This window comes from Homo sapiens, chromosome 2 (assembly GCF_000001405.40).
Source record: "Homo sapiens chromosome 2, GRCh38.p14 Primary Assembly".
Lineage (NCBI taxonomy): Eukaryota > Metazoa > Chordata > Mammalia > Primates > Hominidae > Homo > Homo sapiens.
This window is the reverse complement of record NC_000002.12, coordinates 97,569,673-97,587,082: the sequence shown is the minus strand read 5'-3', so window position 1 is coordinate 97,587,082 and position 17,410 is coordinate 97,569,673. Positions and strand designations below refer to the sequence as shown.

General features: G+C 34.9%; 1 protein-coding gene across 23 annotated transcripts in view; it reads left to right on the top strand.

The window, feature by feature from the left end:
* Positions 1-17,410, top strand: part of ANKRD36B (ankyrin repeat domain 36B) — a 97,215-nt gene that overhangs the window by 2,795 nt on the left and 77,010 nt on the right. For 17 of the 23 annotated variants that reach the window (XR_007078917.1, XM_047445323.1, XM_047445324.1 and 14 more), the window contains exons 2-6: positions 1,685-1,799; positions 1,966-2,139; positions 6,515-6,621; positions 8,040-8,177; positions 10,637-10,704. Coding sequence is in view for 22 of the 23 variants with exons in the window: in XM_047445323.1 (XP_047301279.1) it covers positions 1,685-1,799; positions 1,966-2,139; positions 6,515-6,621; positions 8,040-8,177; positions 10,637-10,704 (602 nt within the window). In the remaining variant the exon portion in view is untranslated. Of the gene's footprint in view, positions 1-1,684; positions 1,800-1,965; positions 2,573-6,514; positions 6,622-8,039; positions 8,178-10,636; positions 10,705-17,410 lie in introns of those variants that run through there. The other 6 variants (XM_047445328.1, NM_001353337.2, XM_047445331.1 and 3 more) reach the window with 6 other exon arrangements.

The following is a 17,410-nucleotide window of genomic DNA, read 5'->3' as shown; positions in this document are numbered from 1 at the left end:
CCACCTCAGCCTCCTGAGTAGCTGGGATTACAGGTGTGCGCCACCATGCCCAGCTAATTTTTGTATATTTTAGTAAAGACGGGGTTTCACCATGTTGACCAGGCTGGTCTCAAACTCCTGACCTCAGGTGATCCCCCCGCCTCGGCCTCCCAAAGTTCTGGGATTACAGGTGTGAGCCACTGTGCCTGGCCTTATTTTTATTTTTTTGTTTATTGGTATCTTCTGTGAACTTTTAGCCTCTTCAGAGGCAGAGGGAATATTTTTATTTGTGCTTGATTATTTTATTATGCATAGATTTTAGTATATACATAAGTTTTTATTATAGTTTTATTACATATAAGGAAACAATTTTAAATTAATTATTTTAGTTTATCAGTGTCCTCATGAAAATGAAAATGAGCAAATATAAGTGATTATCACTATTCCAAAAGCACTGCTTTAATTTATAGTTTTTTTCACAATAAACTTCCCAACTGTATGTATGCATTCTTTCAATCCAGTTATTCATCAAGCATAACCTGAATACCTATTATGTAGCAGACACATTCCACCATCTCTCAGGACTCTTCCACCCTTAACAACTTCATGTTTACCTGCCCAGCCTGAGCAAGCTGAGATTTAAAATGGAAGCATTAGGACTGAATCCCAGTTGGATCTTTTATTCCTTTTTTTTTTTTTAAACAAAAGCAATTCTGAAGTTAGAAAATAGTGAAAGATAACCTTTAACTGCCATTTCAAAAACTTATGACAGTCTCAAATACTACTATTAATCATTGCAAATACCTAATTTACATAACATTCTGTAAGTATTGAAAAAAATGAGCCATACCTATTCATTTGAATCCTGAGTTTTCTTTGGATTATTTTTTTTTGAAAGTTGAAGTAAGAATTACTTTGTTTTAAAAATTTGTTTTTTTATTTTTGCCTTCTTTTTCCACAGTACTTCATTTAGGTGCCAATTATATGAATAGAACTGCCTGTTCTATGAACTGTATCCCACTTAATGTAAGGCATCACGGATTGGGTGATGCCACATTACTTTATATATCGATAAGATAATGTTTAAAATGTTGCCAGTTATAAATGTAATAAATAATGAATTGTAAACAGTTTTCCAATGTCAGGAGATGTTAATATATAAGAGAATAGTAGCTTATATAAGAGAATAGTGAGAAAATGAGCATCTGAGAATGACTGAAATACAATGATACATCTAATCTTTAATAGATACCTCAATGTAGATATGATTGTATCATTTTACTTAATTAAAATGTCTTTGTCTTTGTAAGTAGTGATATCTAAAAATTATTGAGCTGTTATTTGTGTTAGAAAGTGTTCTAAATGCTGTGCATAGATTCTTATGTAAGCATCACAGCAGTGTTCTGTGGGCTAGCTACTATTCTCTTACATATTTTATTGATAAGGAAATTGAAGCAAAGAAAGGCTAAATAACAGCTAAGTGACAGAGCTTACAGTAAATTTTAAGCCCCAATTAAACTGAATCCAAAAGCCAAGCCTTTTCTATTAAATAGCCTGCTCTTTCATTAATGTGGTGAGTAATAAGCGCTAACAAATGTTGTACTTTCTTCACAAGAAAATTACATATTTGTTTTGAAGACAGAGAAATAACATGCTAATTAATGCTTACAGTTACATGTTTTAAAAAGTCCTGTCACTCTCACAGGACTGCCCTACATTTGGCCTGTGCCACTGGCCAACCGGAAATGGTACATCTCCTGGTGTCCAGAAGATGTGAGCTTAACCTCTGCGACCGTGAAGACAGGACACCTCTGATCAAGGTACATAGTAGCTGACTCTTTGAGCATGAGATGGATTTGGTTGAAGTACATAGGATAAAATGAATTTATCTCATTGGAATACCACCATATAACTAGTAGGAAATCCTACGGAGTGTTTATTTTGATTTTTTCAGTATTTGCATGTTTCTCGGTCTAATACTGACAGGCTGTACAACTGAGGCAGGAGGCTTGTGCAACTCTTCTGCTGCAAAATGGCGCCGATCCAAATATTACGGATGTCTTTGGAAGGACTGCTCTGCACTACGCTGTGTATAATGAAGATACATCCATGATAGAAAAACTTCTTTCACATGGTACAAATATTGAAGAATGCAGCAAGGTATAGGTCAACCAATGTTATTTTCAAACTATCTGAAATGCATTTATTTTAACATTGACACATGTAAGGGTCAATTTTTCATATTTGGAAGCTCAAACATTCCTTGAATGAAAATATTTTGAAATGCCTTAACTGTCTAAGATTTTACTTTAAATATTGGAACTTTTAAAGAAGCATTATAGGGAACAGCCTTTTTTCATGCACTTATGGTAAATAACTATAAAAACAAATGAATTACAATAAATTTATAATTCATGACAACTGAATTTGGGAAAGGTAATAGTTAAGTGTTTTTCCACTAAATTACTTTTTTTCTAATCAGTGTGAAGTGACACAGGAAAGTAAAATTGTCCCTTATAAATAGGCTTTATTTTAAATGTCAAAGAAAATTAAAGAATTTCACAATAAATGTACATGTTGTTGCTGTTGACAAGTGTTGTATGTGAAGGTGATTTCATTTGAAAGTGATTCCTCTGTGGAAAGGCTTAAGAGGGAAAAATGAAGAAAAGGAGAGCAATCAGAAATGCACAAGCTAATTTGGAAATTAGGTAATGAGGGAAAATACTGTGGAGAGGGTTTTTGTGTGTTTTGTTGTTTGTTTTCAATTTATATGTTTAGACAAAGATCGCTTCAGTTTTGGGGATGATTATTCTTACTTTGGGAAAGAGTTTGTGAGTTGTGAAATTGCCCAGGGATCAATTTTGGTAAGACTCTGAGGAAACCAGGTTGGCAGTGAATAGTGGTGATGAAGCGGCACACAGTTCAGCAGAGAGAAGAACACATAATTAATGGACATTATTCAATTCTGGCAGAAACAGCCACTCAGATAAGCATCTAAACTCTACTCTCAAGTCCAGAATGTCTTGATGGGCAGGTGGGAGATACGGAGCTTATAAATAGTAAAATCAAGTTGGATTTTGAGCTTACTAGTCTCTTCCCTACCCCTACCCAGGAAAAGTAAATGAAGTCTTCAGTGAATGGCTCTATCTTTTGCTCTTTCCTCTTTTCGGCCAAATCCCAAACGATAAAGGGAATTTGCCACGTGGGTGAGAAATGAGACTGAAGTGATTATCAACTGTGCTGGTTCGCAGTTAGAATTGTGCATGGCAGTAACCTGGGGAAATTAAAAGCAAATCTCTAAGTCTAGGATATCCCCTGAAGATTTTAATATAGTAAATCTAATATTTACTATTAAATATTACTGGGCATGTATGTTTTAAAATATTTCCTTGAAGCTGGGCATGGTGGTGCCTCTAGCCAGAGCAACAGATTAAGACACTGCCTCTAACAGCAACAACACAACAACAACAACAACAATAAAACATTTCTTGGGACACTGATACGCTGCTGGTTAAGAACCACTGAATAGATAAGTGTAATATAAATTCCCATATCTCAAACACACAAAAAATCTCTAGAAGAGCTGGAGATAGGTGCTGCTTCCTTTAAATTTCTCCTTTCCAATAATATTGGCCTGACTTTTACCTGTCTCTACCTCTGTGGTTGGGAAGTGGAAAGGACTATTATTTGCAGTATCTATCAGCATAAGAATAACACCTTTTCTTTGCCACCATCACTTATTCACTGCCATTCATAGGGTCATTAGAAATTTGCTATTGTGGACTCTTTTAATAAGTAGAGACTGACTCTTTCAGGACTCTGAGTCTCTTTGTTATCATTCTGGTGATTAGGTCAATACATCATTATTAAAAGCGGGGTTCTCTCAATTACAATAGCAAAAAATTCTAAACCTTTTTTTAAAGCTGAAGCTCTATTATGGACTGCCTCAGTATGTCAGTTAAGTACATAGAACTGTGGCATAATCAGGATAGCAGTTTTAAACACTGAAAACCATGAAGTTAGTAAGAATACAAAGAATACATATAGGTCATTATTAGAGCTTTAATTGATAAGCCATTGTATTTTTATTTCTGATTTATATTTTACCTAAAATAAAAAAAATTAGGTTACAATATAGAAACTAGAATTATAATTTAATATTATTTTAATAATTTAGTTGCAGCAGTCCTATGAACTAATTATCCATTTGGTGAACAATCTGGGAAAATTAAACATAAATTATAAATGAATGAATGTTGTAAAAGTGCTCAAAGTGGGTATTATGACTCTTAGTAACAATTTTTATTGCATTCTTGGGCCTATTTTGGAAAAAAAATCTGAAACTAAAGAAAGGAAGTATTTTACATGAAAATACTTGCTTTACATACAATCGCTTGGAGACATATCCATAGCAAATATAAAAATACAAGGTATATAGTCCAAATGTGTCCCATACATGTGTTTAGTTTGCGTCTACAAATTGTCTCAACATGGAAGGTTTAGGAGACTCGTGCACAGATCTGGATTCCAAGCTTCTCTTCAAGAATCCAATCTGGTGTCCCTTGAGCCTATCTCAGGTTTTGGATGCTGTGCAGAGGTTGCCCCTTTCTATGAGGCATGTGGTCTCCATTTTGCTACTGTGCCTACCTAGGTACTTCACTTCCTCAGGTCATCTCCCTTGCCTCTGTAGGGATGACTTTACAAGCCCTGTTTTATAATATATTTTAGTAAATATTTCAAGGTTTTCAAGACATTTTATATTTATTTAAATGTAGAGTCTATATTTTATATAAATCCTTTGGTAATCGGGTTGAACTTTTGAATTTAGATGGTGGTGTTTTATAAACTATTTATACATACCATAAATAATCATCTTCCCATTAGAATGCATGTAAGCTTTTTAAGGTGAATCATGGTATAGTTGCATAGGTTATGCATATTGCAGACAACATTATATTTTTCTCTTCAGCATTGCCTCCTAAAAATGCAAGTAATTGGCCGAGCGCAGTGGCTCACGCCTGTAATCCTAGCACTTTGGGAGGCAGAGGCAGGTAGATCACGAGGTCAGAAGATTGAGACCATCCTGGCTAACACGGTGAAACCCCCTCTCTACTACAAATACAAAAAATTAGCTGGGTGTGGTGGCACACGCCTGTAGTCCCAGCTACTCGGGAGGCTGAGGCAGGAGAATTTCTCGTGCTTGAATCCGGGAGGCGGAGGTTGCAGTGAGCCGAGATGGCACCACTGCACTCCAGCCTGGGTGACAGAGCGAGACTCCATCTCAAATAAATAAATAAATAAATAAATAAATGATGCAAATAATTTAGTGGTTTTCATTATGCTATAAATAATTCATATAGGTCATTATTAGAGCTTTAATTGATAAGCCATTGTATTTTTATTTCTGATTGATATTTTACCTAAAATAAAATAAGTTAGGTAAGAATGAATTGGAAACTAGAATACAAATAGATTTTTAAAGGAGTTATGTACCAGGGTCCTAAGATTATAATTACATAAATATTTGCATCAGGGTCCTAAGATTGTAATTGAGAATAACATTTCATACAGAGCTTTCTGACAGCTAAGATAAAAATATTACTAGAGAAAACCCATGGACTATTTAATAATAAGCAGTGAAAGTTCACTCGAAGCCTATCTCTATTAATTCAGAGCCCGGCTCTCCGAATTAAAAAGAGATAGGCTTCAAATGAACTGTCAATCGTGTCAGAATCTCAGATGACAATGTCAGGTGCTCAGGTGCTCAGGAGCTCCTGACATTGTCACCTGAGATTCTCACACCATCGATAGAAGAGAATGAGGCAAGTGTGTATCACCCAGAGGAAACCTCTACCTTTACTGGTAAGCTCTCACAACTGTATCCCTGAAACTCTCATTTCTCAAATGTTAACATTCTCCAAAATAAGTATTTACAAATAGGGATTAGGTGAAGTTCAAAAGATTTCTCAAATACTAGACACATAATGCACAGTTTTGTAACATTTTTCAAACATGGGTGATCATGGAGTCTCTCTTTTGGGGTATAATGTTCAAATTCTGGTAAAGTAAATATCCTTTGGAATATATTAATAGTTTAAGAAACACCGCTCTATAGATAATAATTTAGATCATTAATAAAAATACCTGAAACATTTATTACTGTGTCTTAGAGTTTGAGGACATAGAGAAAAAAATACAGCTGCTGCCCTCAAGAAGCTCTTGGTTCAGGTGGGAAACAATTAAATCCTTGAAACATGCCATGCTAAATGCTGGGACAGAAGCAAAGATTCTTGGAACTGGGAAATGTTTGAAGTGAGTTTTGGAGATGACCAGAGTTCTTGTGGTGAGGCAGAGGAGGTTGTTTCCAGGGGAAGGAGCAGAACATAGAAAAGCACCGAGGAGGGAAAAGAAAGGGACTACCTCTTACGACCTTTCAATTGTATATATTGAAGCTCACAGGATCTTACATAAGGTTTTCATTTCAGTTGATAAATATGTAATTTTGTGATTATAAATTGTTGCTGTTATTTTACAGAATGAATATCAGCCACTGTTACTTGCTGTGAGTCGAAGAAAAGTGAAAATGGTGGAATTTTTATTAAAGAAAAAAGCAAATGTAAATGCCATTGATTATCTTGGCAGGTACAGACCTTAGTTCTTATTGTGTTGTTTTTAAACCTGAGTGTCATTTTAGAGTGGTAGCAGTCACTCAAGTCACAAATATTACATTAGTAAGAAGACTAACTTTTAATTACTGGGATATAGTGAGAAATATCAACACAGATCATCACTTAGGTAGAAAAACAATTATTTGGACTGAGTAACATAAAGAACAGTGTATAGCAGGATTCATCTCTCTCTATAGACATTATACACATAAAAGGCTTCTATATATAGAAAGCTCTGTATATTGATAGATGTTTGTTATTTGTAAGATGATGTGGTGTTATTTACAATGTAATAATGTGATGCTTTTGATTGTATGATCTTACATTAGCTAAAGGGGTTTCATGTTAGTTTTTCATTTCTACTGTGTTTTGATGTTGTTTTTAATTGATATGGGGAGGGGGAAAAAAGATAGCTTTAGATGGATAAAACTTTACTTCAATGAAGACAAGCTTTAGGTTCACACAGGACTGGGTTTAATCCCTAGCTTTCCCACTTGCTAGATGTGTGACCTTGGTAACATTACTTACCAAGTATGTTTTCTTCTGTGAAAAGGAGGGTAATAATATATCCTTCAAGGGTGGTTGTGTGTAAGTAACATTATATATATATAATGTTAGAATGTCCAGCTAACAGAGCAAGGTGCTGATGTTTTGGAAACAATGGCTGAGCATATAAGTATGTGCATATAATATATATACACACATATGTATGTAAGAATATAATGTAACTAACATCATATATAATATATAATATATACAATATATATTTATAGATAATATATAATATACTATATATTATATATTTTATAGATTATATATAATATACTATATATATTTTATATATATGTGATATTACTTATACACAACCACCCTTGAAGGATATATTATTATCCTCCATATATATATATATATAGTGTTTAATTAAATGCCTAGCACATGCTTATGAGCATCATTAACTGAAGCTATGACTACTACTATTAGCATTCCTATTAATATTATTGTTTTAAGCCTGCAGATAGCTCTTATCTGACCCTTCAGCTGATTTTGCATTATAATGTATAGTATCAGACTAGGGAAGAAATGAATAATTTTTCACTTAAATTTGCCTACTGTAGATAGGTGGCCTGAGCATATTTCTTGCCCATCAAAGGACTTTAAGTTAGCAACTTTATGTCATACCACAGTGGGACAAGAGGCTTCCTTTTTGTTCCTTGCTTTTAACCTTTGTGGTAACTTGCAAAGATAAACCCTTGAGCACCCAAGATGCTTGTTTCTTAGTACATGTAATTGGGTTAATTCTACATGGACAGGCAACATGTTAAGTTGATAAAGTATATAAACTTAGCTTTTAAAATGTCATTAAAGTTTTTAATTACCTCTCTGTTATTTTAGATCAGCCCTCATACTTGCTGTTACTCTTGGAGAAAAAGATATAGTCATTCTTCTTCTGCAGCACAATATTGATGTGTTTTCTCGAGATGTGTATGGAAAGCTTGCAGAAGATTATGCCAGTGAGGCTGAGAATAGAGTGTAAGTCTTTACGTAAAAAGGCTAATGAACACTAAATTGAAGTTTAAAATAATTGTAACAATTGCATCTTATATATCAGGTGAGATTGCATAGTTTGGTTCAAGTAGTTTTCAAGTGACAAATTTTCAAGTTTTTAAGTTTTCGAGAGTTGTGCAACTTCATCAGCCAGAAATCAAGAAAAAGGCTAGATAAGTAGCAGTAGGTGCAAGATTCTTGATATTGAAACTTTCAGGACTTTTCTCCTTAGGGATTCCAATGTTGTCCATTTTATTTCCAGTATAACCCCTATGCATAGGGTAAAGTAGTTTCACATCTTTGATTTTTCTAATTAGTTATTTGGGTCTCAAAATGTCCAGTTTATCAAAAAACCTTGAGTTGTGTACTGGGGACCATCTACTATAGCCTGATCATGGAATTTTTCAAGAACCTAAGGGGTTCCCTAAGTCCAAGGAAGACAATCAGTGTCTACAAGTCAGAAGGAGAAGGGGAAAGGACATTCTAATCATTGCTTTGTTTTCATTGATTCTGTTGCTGCTTTCTTACCATTGAAAGTACTCTTGCAGTCTGGTAGTGATTAACCTTTGCTACCAGCATGCCCTTTCTGTTTGAGATCCCTCAATCTTCATGTTGATCCATAAAAAGGCTTCAAAGTTACAACTGTTTTTTTTAGTTCAGTTGCACATACTTATATGCTCAGCCATTGTTTCCAAAACAGCAGAACCTTGCTCTGTTAGCTGGATATTCTAACTTTATCAACACACATACGGAGCAAATTGACACTTTCACCCACACTCAAAACCTGATGTAAAGCCCACATTTTAACCTGGGCTTCTAGACCTTCATGGTGAGTTATTTTTTGAGTCCCTTTTTTTTCTCTTTAAAGCAAATATTAGTTAGGATAGTTCTAAACTGTCAGAGATATTCAAATAATGTTGTAGAAAGAGATCACAGTGTTCTTCTTTATTGCTACCAGATCTGTACCCTGAGACTTTTTATATAAACAGCGTAAGAGCTTTTCTCAGGTAGTGGAAGCTTCTATGCCATCCTTCCTTAGAGTAGTAGGCATCAACTTGTGGTTGGCCCCTCAAGTGATCTGTTATCTATAATAATGAAGATCTCTCAAGCTGCTTGCATCAGTATCTCAAGTTTATAAAATATTTTCGGATTCTATTTCACAGGAAGCCATTCATTGGAATTATCTGAGTCTCAAGTTTGTTAGTTAGATTTAACAGAGCTAACCCTCATCCATGACTTATCAGCAGTTATATGTAAAAGTAAGGCTTTGTGCTTGCTTTGGCAGCACAAATACTAAAATTGGAACAATACGGAGAAAATTAGCATGGTGAAGCATTTCATATTTTGCAGTCACGGGAAGGTCATTTGACTGTTTGCTGGCTAGCTAAGTCATAGTTTGAATCAAAACAAAATGGGTGGCCCCTTATATTAGAATTGTGATTTTTCACTACAAAAACATTTGTGTAAGGTGATCTATAAACTGAGAATGGAGATAAGTAACACATGGGGTGTTGTGTAAATATTTTGTTAGTATGTATCTTGGAAATGAGAAAATGTCAACTTGCATCTACTTCATGGAACTTAAAAAAAATGAAAGTAGGGTTTTGTCTTCCATGTCAGTTGGAGATAACATCACTGATGGAGATGAACCATCATTCTAGCAAACATCTGCTCATTCAGTTAGAGTCTGTAGAGAAGTAATAGTGGTAGCCCAAGCCAGATCTTGACATCTGTTAGTTTTCTGCCCTTGGAATTGATGAGCTCAATAATAGTTAACAATCGTGTTACCTATTTTAATGAAATAATATATTCATAAATTAATTTATTTATGAATTATGAAATAGTTGAGATACACTGAATTATAAGCCAGAAATAATAGAACAATAAGCAAAATTAGGACTTAACATTTTTCTTAAACTGAAGCATTTGAATATTAGAACCTATGAAAAAATACACATTGGGTTTGATTTGGGATTTCAAAATAGTTTCAGCGATAAAGTTCAAGAACAAGCTCCACTGCTTTACTATTTCTCTGTGAATGTTAAAAATGCTGCTTCATTAAACCTATATAACAACCTAGTGAAAGAAGGTAGTAAAATCTAGAAGAAGACATTGTGCCTAAGAGAAGCAACTTGTTTAAGAGCAAATACCTGTTGGCTATAGAGCCAGGACCTTCCAGTAAGAGCCAGGAAGGTGACTTTCCATTATGTCAAGCTGATGTGAGATAGTTTGCTGAGCTATACTGCCTTCACTTCATGAGTACTTCACCTGTTTTTATTATTTAATTAGAAAGGTACTAAGAAGTTTGTAGAGCTTACAAAAGAGAAGTGTATAGGATAATTAACATCCTGATATTGTTCAAGATACTCTAATAATTTAGTATATTTGGTAAATGTTTTTGATAATAGTATTAAAATATTAATTTCATTTATTTTTATGCATAGCATTTTTGATCTAATTTATGAATACAAAAGAAAGAGATATGAAGATCTTCCTATAAATAGCAATCCAGGTGAGATTTCTGATAGTGAATTACTCTTGATGGTACTACCATAGATAAAAAAGAATAAAGATGTTTTGATTACAAAAAAGCAGTTTAAAAAAATCACTTTAAATTGTACACATTTAAAAAATACTTAGTAGTCTAGATTTTATAATTATTTAAAAAGTTAATTGTAGGTAATTTATAATCTCAGTATTGTTTGAAAAAAATTATTATTTAATTATCGTTCCTAGTATTCTAGATGACCTTTTTGTGTAAATAAGAAAACAAATTTTTAAGTTATTATGTTGTATTTTTTTAATAGTCACATGATAATGAATTAGACTTTTTATATAATTAGAACTTCTATTTAATTTGTAAAATAAATTCTTTGCAATTACTAAATGAATCAATAATTACAGTTGGCCCTTGAACAACATGGGATTTAGTGCTGCCAATCCCCATGCTGTTGAAAATACATATTTGGTATGTTATATATATTATATATTGTATTCTGAGTACAAGAAAGTAAGCTAGAGAAAGGAAGATTTTGCAGTAGTTAAAGCTGTAGTTTCCTTGTAGTTCGATGCTTGAACTACTATCAATCTAGTGTAAGGTGTTCACCCATCCACGGTAAAATAAAGTAAATTTACTCCATTTACTCATTTTAAAATGTTGGTCTTTTTCTTGCCTGTATGCCTTCTTTATTTGTTTTACTTAATTTTTTATTTATAAAAAAACAATAATAGTTGATAGGGATCTTTTCCTGTGAAAACCATCAGTGAAGAGGCCATGTTGATCTAGGAAATATAAACATATTTATTTGGTGGCAGTAGAAATATAAAGCAGAAGCAGAAAAGAGGTACAGTTAATATGATTTAGTGAACATTGAATGTAAAACATTAGTGGGGAGAGAGAAATCTTGGATCATTCATAGGTTTCCAGGTTGTGTACTGGCCTTTATACTGCACACAAGAAAGGAGTAGGACGTGTTCACTGAATGGAGAAGTACAGCTGGTCAACAGGGAAGAATAACTTCCCTTCCCTCCAAATCTGAGGTTGGAGATGCAGACGTAGAATGATGTTATTATAATTATTAGGCAAAGTCATCGATCTCAATGAGCTGTCCATGATGCAGATGTAGAATGAGAAGCTATCCTGTGACAAAACCCTGGGAATGTCAACTTTCCCTCCCCACCCCCAGGAAAAAAAGAGTTGGTGAAGGAGAATGAGCAGTGGCTAGAGAAAAGTAGGAGAGGAGTCAGAGGAAGTGATGTTGCAAAAATAAAAAAAGTGAGAATTTTAAGGAGGGAGTATGAATTCTAACAAGTAAGATTACTCAAAAGCCAATTAGATTTAACTTTTAAAAGCTCTTTGGCGGTACCCTTTTCAAAAGAACCATTTTTGAGGTGTAATGTGGGCTATTGATGTGATTGGTATGTCTGTTGTCCAAATATGGAGGAACAAATCTACCAAGATCCTGCGTAACCCTTTTGTAACTGCAGAAGCTACGTGCACAGGGTCAGGGAAAATGGTCTTGACTTCTGAGTACATGTGCCCACACTTTTACAGAATTGTCAAAACCTAAGGGTAATGTGTGAGAAAAACTGTGGTCTTCTTATCTGCTCCTTGTGGAAATACTTAGTTTGTACTGAAATCCCTGATAAGTTCTTCTGGATGCATTCTGAAACAAAAGTCTGGCAGCAGTAACTGGAACCACCTTGTCCAAAGCACATACATCCCGACTCTCTCCAACATGGAATCATAACACAGCCGCATTTCGAGAGTTTCAAGTTTCAATCAGAAGTAGTCTACAGACATGTGCATGTGTCTTTATAGCAGCATGATTTATAATCCTTTGGGTGTATACCCAGTAACGGGATGGCTGGGTCAAATGCTATTTCTAGTTCTAGATCCCTGAGGAATCGCCACACTGACTTCCACAATGGTTGAACTAGTTTACAGTCCCACCAACAGTGTAAAAGTGTTCCTATTTCTCCACATCCTCTCCAGCACCTGTTGTTTCCTGACGTTTTAATGATTGCCATTCTAACTGGTGTGAGATGGTATCTCACTGTGGTTTTGATTTGCATTTCTCTGATGGCCAGTGATGATGAGCATTTTTTCATGTGTTTTTTGGCTGCATAAATGTCTTCTTTTGAGAAGTGTCTGTTCATATCCTTTGCCCACTTTTTGATGGGGTTGTTTGTTTTTTTCTTGTAAATTTGTTTGAGCTCTTTGTAGATTCTGGATATTAGCCCTTTGTCAGATGAGTAAGTTGCAAAAATTTTCTCCCATTCCGTAGGTTGCCTGTTCACTCTGATGGTAGTTTCTTTTGCTGTGCAGAAGCTCTTTAGTTTAATTAGATCCCATGTGTCAATTTTGGCTTTTGTTGCCATTGCTTTTGGTGTTTTAGACATGAAGTCCTTGCCCATGCCTATGTCCTGAATGGTATTGCCTAGGTTTTCTTTTAGGGTTTTTATGGTTTTAGGTCTAACATGTAAGTCTTTAATCCATCTTGAATTAATTTTTGTATAAGATGTAAGGAAGGGATCCAGTTTCAGCTTTCTACATATGGCTAGCCAGTTTTCCCAGCACCATTTATTAAATAGGGAATCCTTTCCCCATTGCTTGTTTTTCTCAGGTTTGTCAAAGATCGATAGTTGTAGACATGCAGCATTATTTCTGATGGCTCTGTTCTGTTCCATTGGTCTATATCTCCATTTCGGTACCAGTACCATGCTGTTTTGGTTACTCTAGCCTTGTAGTATAGTTTGAAGTCAGGTAGCGTGATGCCTCCAGCTTTATTCTTTTGGCTTAGGATTGACTTGGTGATGTGGGCTCTTTTTTGGTTCCATATGAACTTTAAAGTAGTTTTTTCCAATTCTGTGAAGAAAGTCATTGATAGCTTGATGGGGATGGCATTGAATCTATAAATTACCTTGGGCAGTATGGCCATTTTCATGATATTGATTCTTCCTATCCATGAGCATGGAATGTTCTTCCATTTGTTTGTATCCTCTTTTATTTCATTGAGCAGTGGTTTGTAGCTATTCACAATAGCAAAGACATGGAACCAACCCAAATGTCCAACAATGATAGACTGGATTAAGAAAATGTGGCACATATACACCATGGAATACTATGCAGCCATAAGAAATGATGAGTTCATGTCCTTTGTAGGGACATGGATGAAGCTGGAAACCATCATTCTCAGCAAATTATGGCAAGGACAAAAAACGAAACACCGCATGTTGTCACTCATAGCTGGGAATTGAACAATGAGAACACATGGACACAGGAAGGGGAACATCACCCACCGGGGACTGTTGTGGGGTGGGGGGAGTGGGGAGGGATAGCATTAGGAGATCTACCTAATGCTAAATGATGAGTTAATGGGTGCAGCACACCAATATGGCACATGTATACATATGTAACAAACCTGCACTTTGTGCACATGTACTCTAAAAGTATAAAAAAAAAAAAAAAGAAGTAGCCTACAGACGAGCAGTTTGGAGAAGCTGACGTCTTTTATATAATGTCATGGAGAAAAATATAAGGTGACATGCTAAGTATACCAAGTCTCTGTGTTCTGGGACACTTTGTTTTAGTGCAATTCCCTTTTCATGACCTCTTGTAATATCTCTGCTTTTACTGTTTTTTTTTTTAATTTCGTCCCTAAAGAAAATATTATTAGAACACATTTCTAACACAGGTATTTTTGACAACTATATAGGATTTTCTTTTAAGAGAATTAGCTACCTATTCTAAAGTATATCTGGTATTCTATTAATCTTTAATGCTAAACTTCTTTATATCTTTAGCACAGTGACAGTGTAAGTGATGCTGCTCCTTTAAGATTTTAAGTTTCTTTTAAATTTTCAAACTTTAAATGTCTTTTAAATTTTCAAATTAAGTTAAGACACTTAAGGTGTCTTTTAAATTTTTTTAAATTTTAAATTTTAAATTCTAAATTTTCAAACGACATAGTTTTAATGTAAAACACTTTTCTGGTATTATATTTCTTCAAATATTGGTAATCTGTTACTTAGCTGGAATATTTGGTCAGTTGGATTACCACACCTTTAACCATCTATATATAAGTTTCTTGATTTTTTTTTTTTTTTGAGATTGAGTCTTTTGCTGTTTCCCAGGCTGGAGTACAATAGTGTGATCATAGCTCACTGCAGCCTCAAACTTCTGGGTTCAGGTGGTCCTCCTACCTCGGCCTCCTAAGTCATTGAGACTGCTACAAGTATATGCCACCATACCAAGCTAACTTTTTTATTTTTTATTTTTTAAAGACAAAGGTCTCTCTCTTTTGCCCAGGCCAGTCTCAAACTTTTGGCTTCAAGTGATCCTCCTGCCTCAGCCTCCCAAAGTGCTGGAATTATGGTCATGAGCCATCGTGCTGGTCTATAACTTCCTTTATTCTCCAAAGGGAGTTTAAAGTCCTATTGGCCCTTAATAAGAAAAACCCACTGTTTGGGAGGAGAAGTGGATAACTCATCCTACATTTTAAATGCAGTTTTTGACTTTTTGACCTGTTCTATGAAGAACGGCCCTTAACAGATGATTTTTAGTTTTTATAGATATTTTTAGTTTTATAAGAACTTAAGAAAAAAGATTAGAAACAAATTAAATGAGCTCTATGATTGATAGTAAGTATTATATCCAATGGCTACATATATTTCTATAATTATCACAATGACCTGAATGATGCAAATTATTTTACTTATGTTTTTATTAATAGATTTTTTTTTGAGACTGAGTCTCGCTCTGTTGCCCAGGCTGGAGTGCAGTGGCGCAATCTCGGCTCACTGCAAACTCTGCCTCCTGGGTTCAAACGCTTCTCCTGCCTCAGCCTCCCAGGTAGCTGGGACTACAGGCATGCACCACCACGCCCAGCTAATTTTTATATTTTTAGTAGAGATGCGGTTTCACTGTGTTAGCCAGGATGGTCTCCATCTCCTGACCTTGTGATCCGCCCGCCCCAGCCTCCCAAAGTGTTTGGATTATAGGTGTAAGGCACCGCCCCCAGCCTACTAATGCATTTTAGAGACAGGGTCTCACTCTGTTTCCCAGGCTGGAGTGCAATGGTTGTTCACAGGCACAATCTCCACTGCAGCCTCAAACTTTTGATCTCAAGCAATCTTCCTGCCTCAGCCGTTGGAGTAGTTGGGACTACAGGTGCGTGTCATTGCACCTGGCCTGATCCCCAATTATTATAAAAGAAACCTTGGTGAGTTGAAGACAATTGGCTGTGATCTTTTTGTTTCTCTTCTAGAAGCTTTCATACTATGGGATATATTTTTAATCATCCATATTCTCAAATTTTTATTCTGGTTAAAATAGGATTGCTGCTTGTTTTTCATCATTTTTTGGCATAATTATTTCTGTTCCCTTATGGATTTATTCATGCAGAAATACAGGAATCTCAAAGGCAACTGTTAAGGAAAACAGATGAGGGAAAGGTGTTTTATAAACAGCCTTCTGATCGTAGTCACAGGTCACATCACCTTAAAGAAAACTAATTTCATATAATGCCACTATGTCAGAGTTTCCAAGACCACCTCTGTGTTTGGTGATTCACTTGGAAGGACTCAGCAAACAGTCCTACTCTGGGCTTTGATTTGTTACAGTGAAAGAATACAAAGTAAAATTGGCTCAGGGCAAAGGGGCATGTGGCAAGTCTTGGGGAAGCCAAGCACAAGCTTCCGGGAGCCCTCTCCTGTGGAGTTACCAGGATGTGCTGAATTCCTGTAGCTTCAAATTTTGACAGCACATGGGCAATATTGTCTACCAGTATGAGTCTGACTAGAGACTTACACAGTATCCAAGGTTCTTATGGAAGCTAGTTACATAGGCATGCTGTCTCACACATATACAAAAATTCCACACTTCCAGAAGAAAAGCAGCTGTTCAGAGTCAACCACATTGTTTATGCAAACAGTTTAGGTACAGTGAGCTACTTTTCTCAGGAAATGGTGACAAACCTTTAAAATGCAAATTTCCAAACACCAGCAAATGGCCAGTTTTGCATGTAGGCCTTTCTAAGAATGACAGTCTTATGACTGTTATATGAATTATTTTCTTCACAGCAGTTACAGCCCCAACTTAATTTTAGGTGTCTTAAAAATTCTATTTGATAGTGAATAACATGGTAATATAACATAGCATGGTGCTTATTTCATTTGAGTCAGTTGCAACTTAATATGAAATACTAAGTTTCTGTGCTGTTAGATTTTGGAATTTTGGTGAATATTTAACAGGTCTCTGTACAGAAGTTACTATGGCAATATTAGGTAATTATAATCTGTTCTTATTCGATTAACCTTTCAGTAAAATGGTTAGATAAAATAAGTAATGATTTCTCATTTAAAATTGAAATAAAAAATTTGTTTCATTTTAATTATGTAGATGGTTCAGTTTTGTTTTATATTTTGTTAAATTTCTGTTTATAATTATGAAATTAAAAAAATCAATCATTTATCAGTTATTTTCTTGCCTGTTAATACAGTTAAGTTATTTGCTTTATGTGCTTTTATATACTATAATTCTGGAGAGAATATTTATATTGTGTTTCAAATTGAGTACGTCTTGCTATAATATATGGTAATATAATATAGCAATATATTAGTAATAGAAGATTCAGTGAAAATCTTTTTAAAAAATTAACAACTTTATTTTAAGAGCAGTTTAATATTCTCAGCAATATTGAAAAGAACCTAAAGAG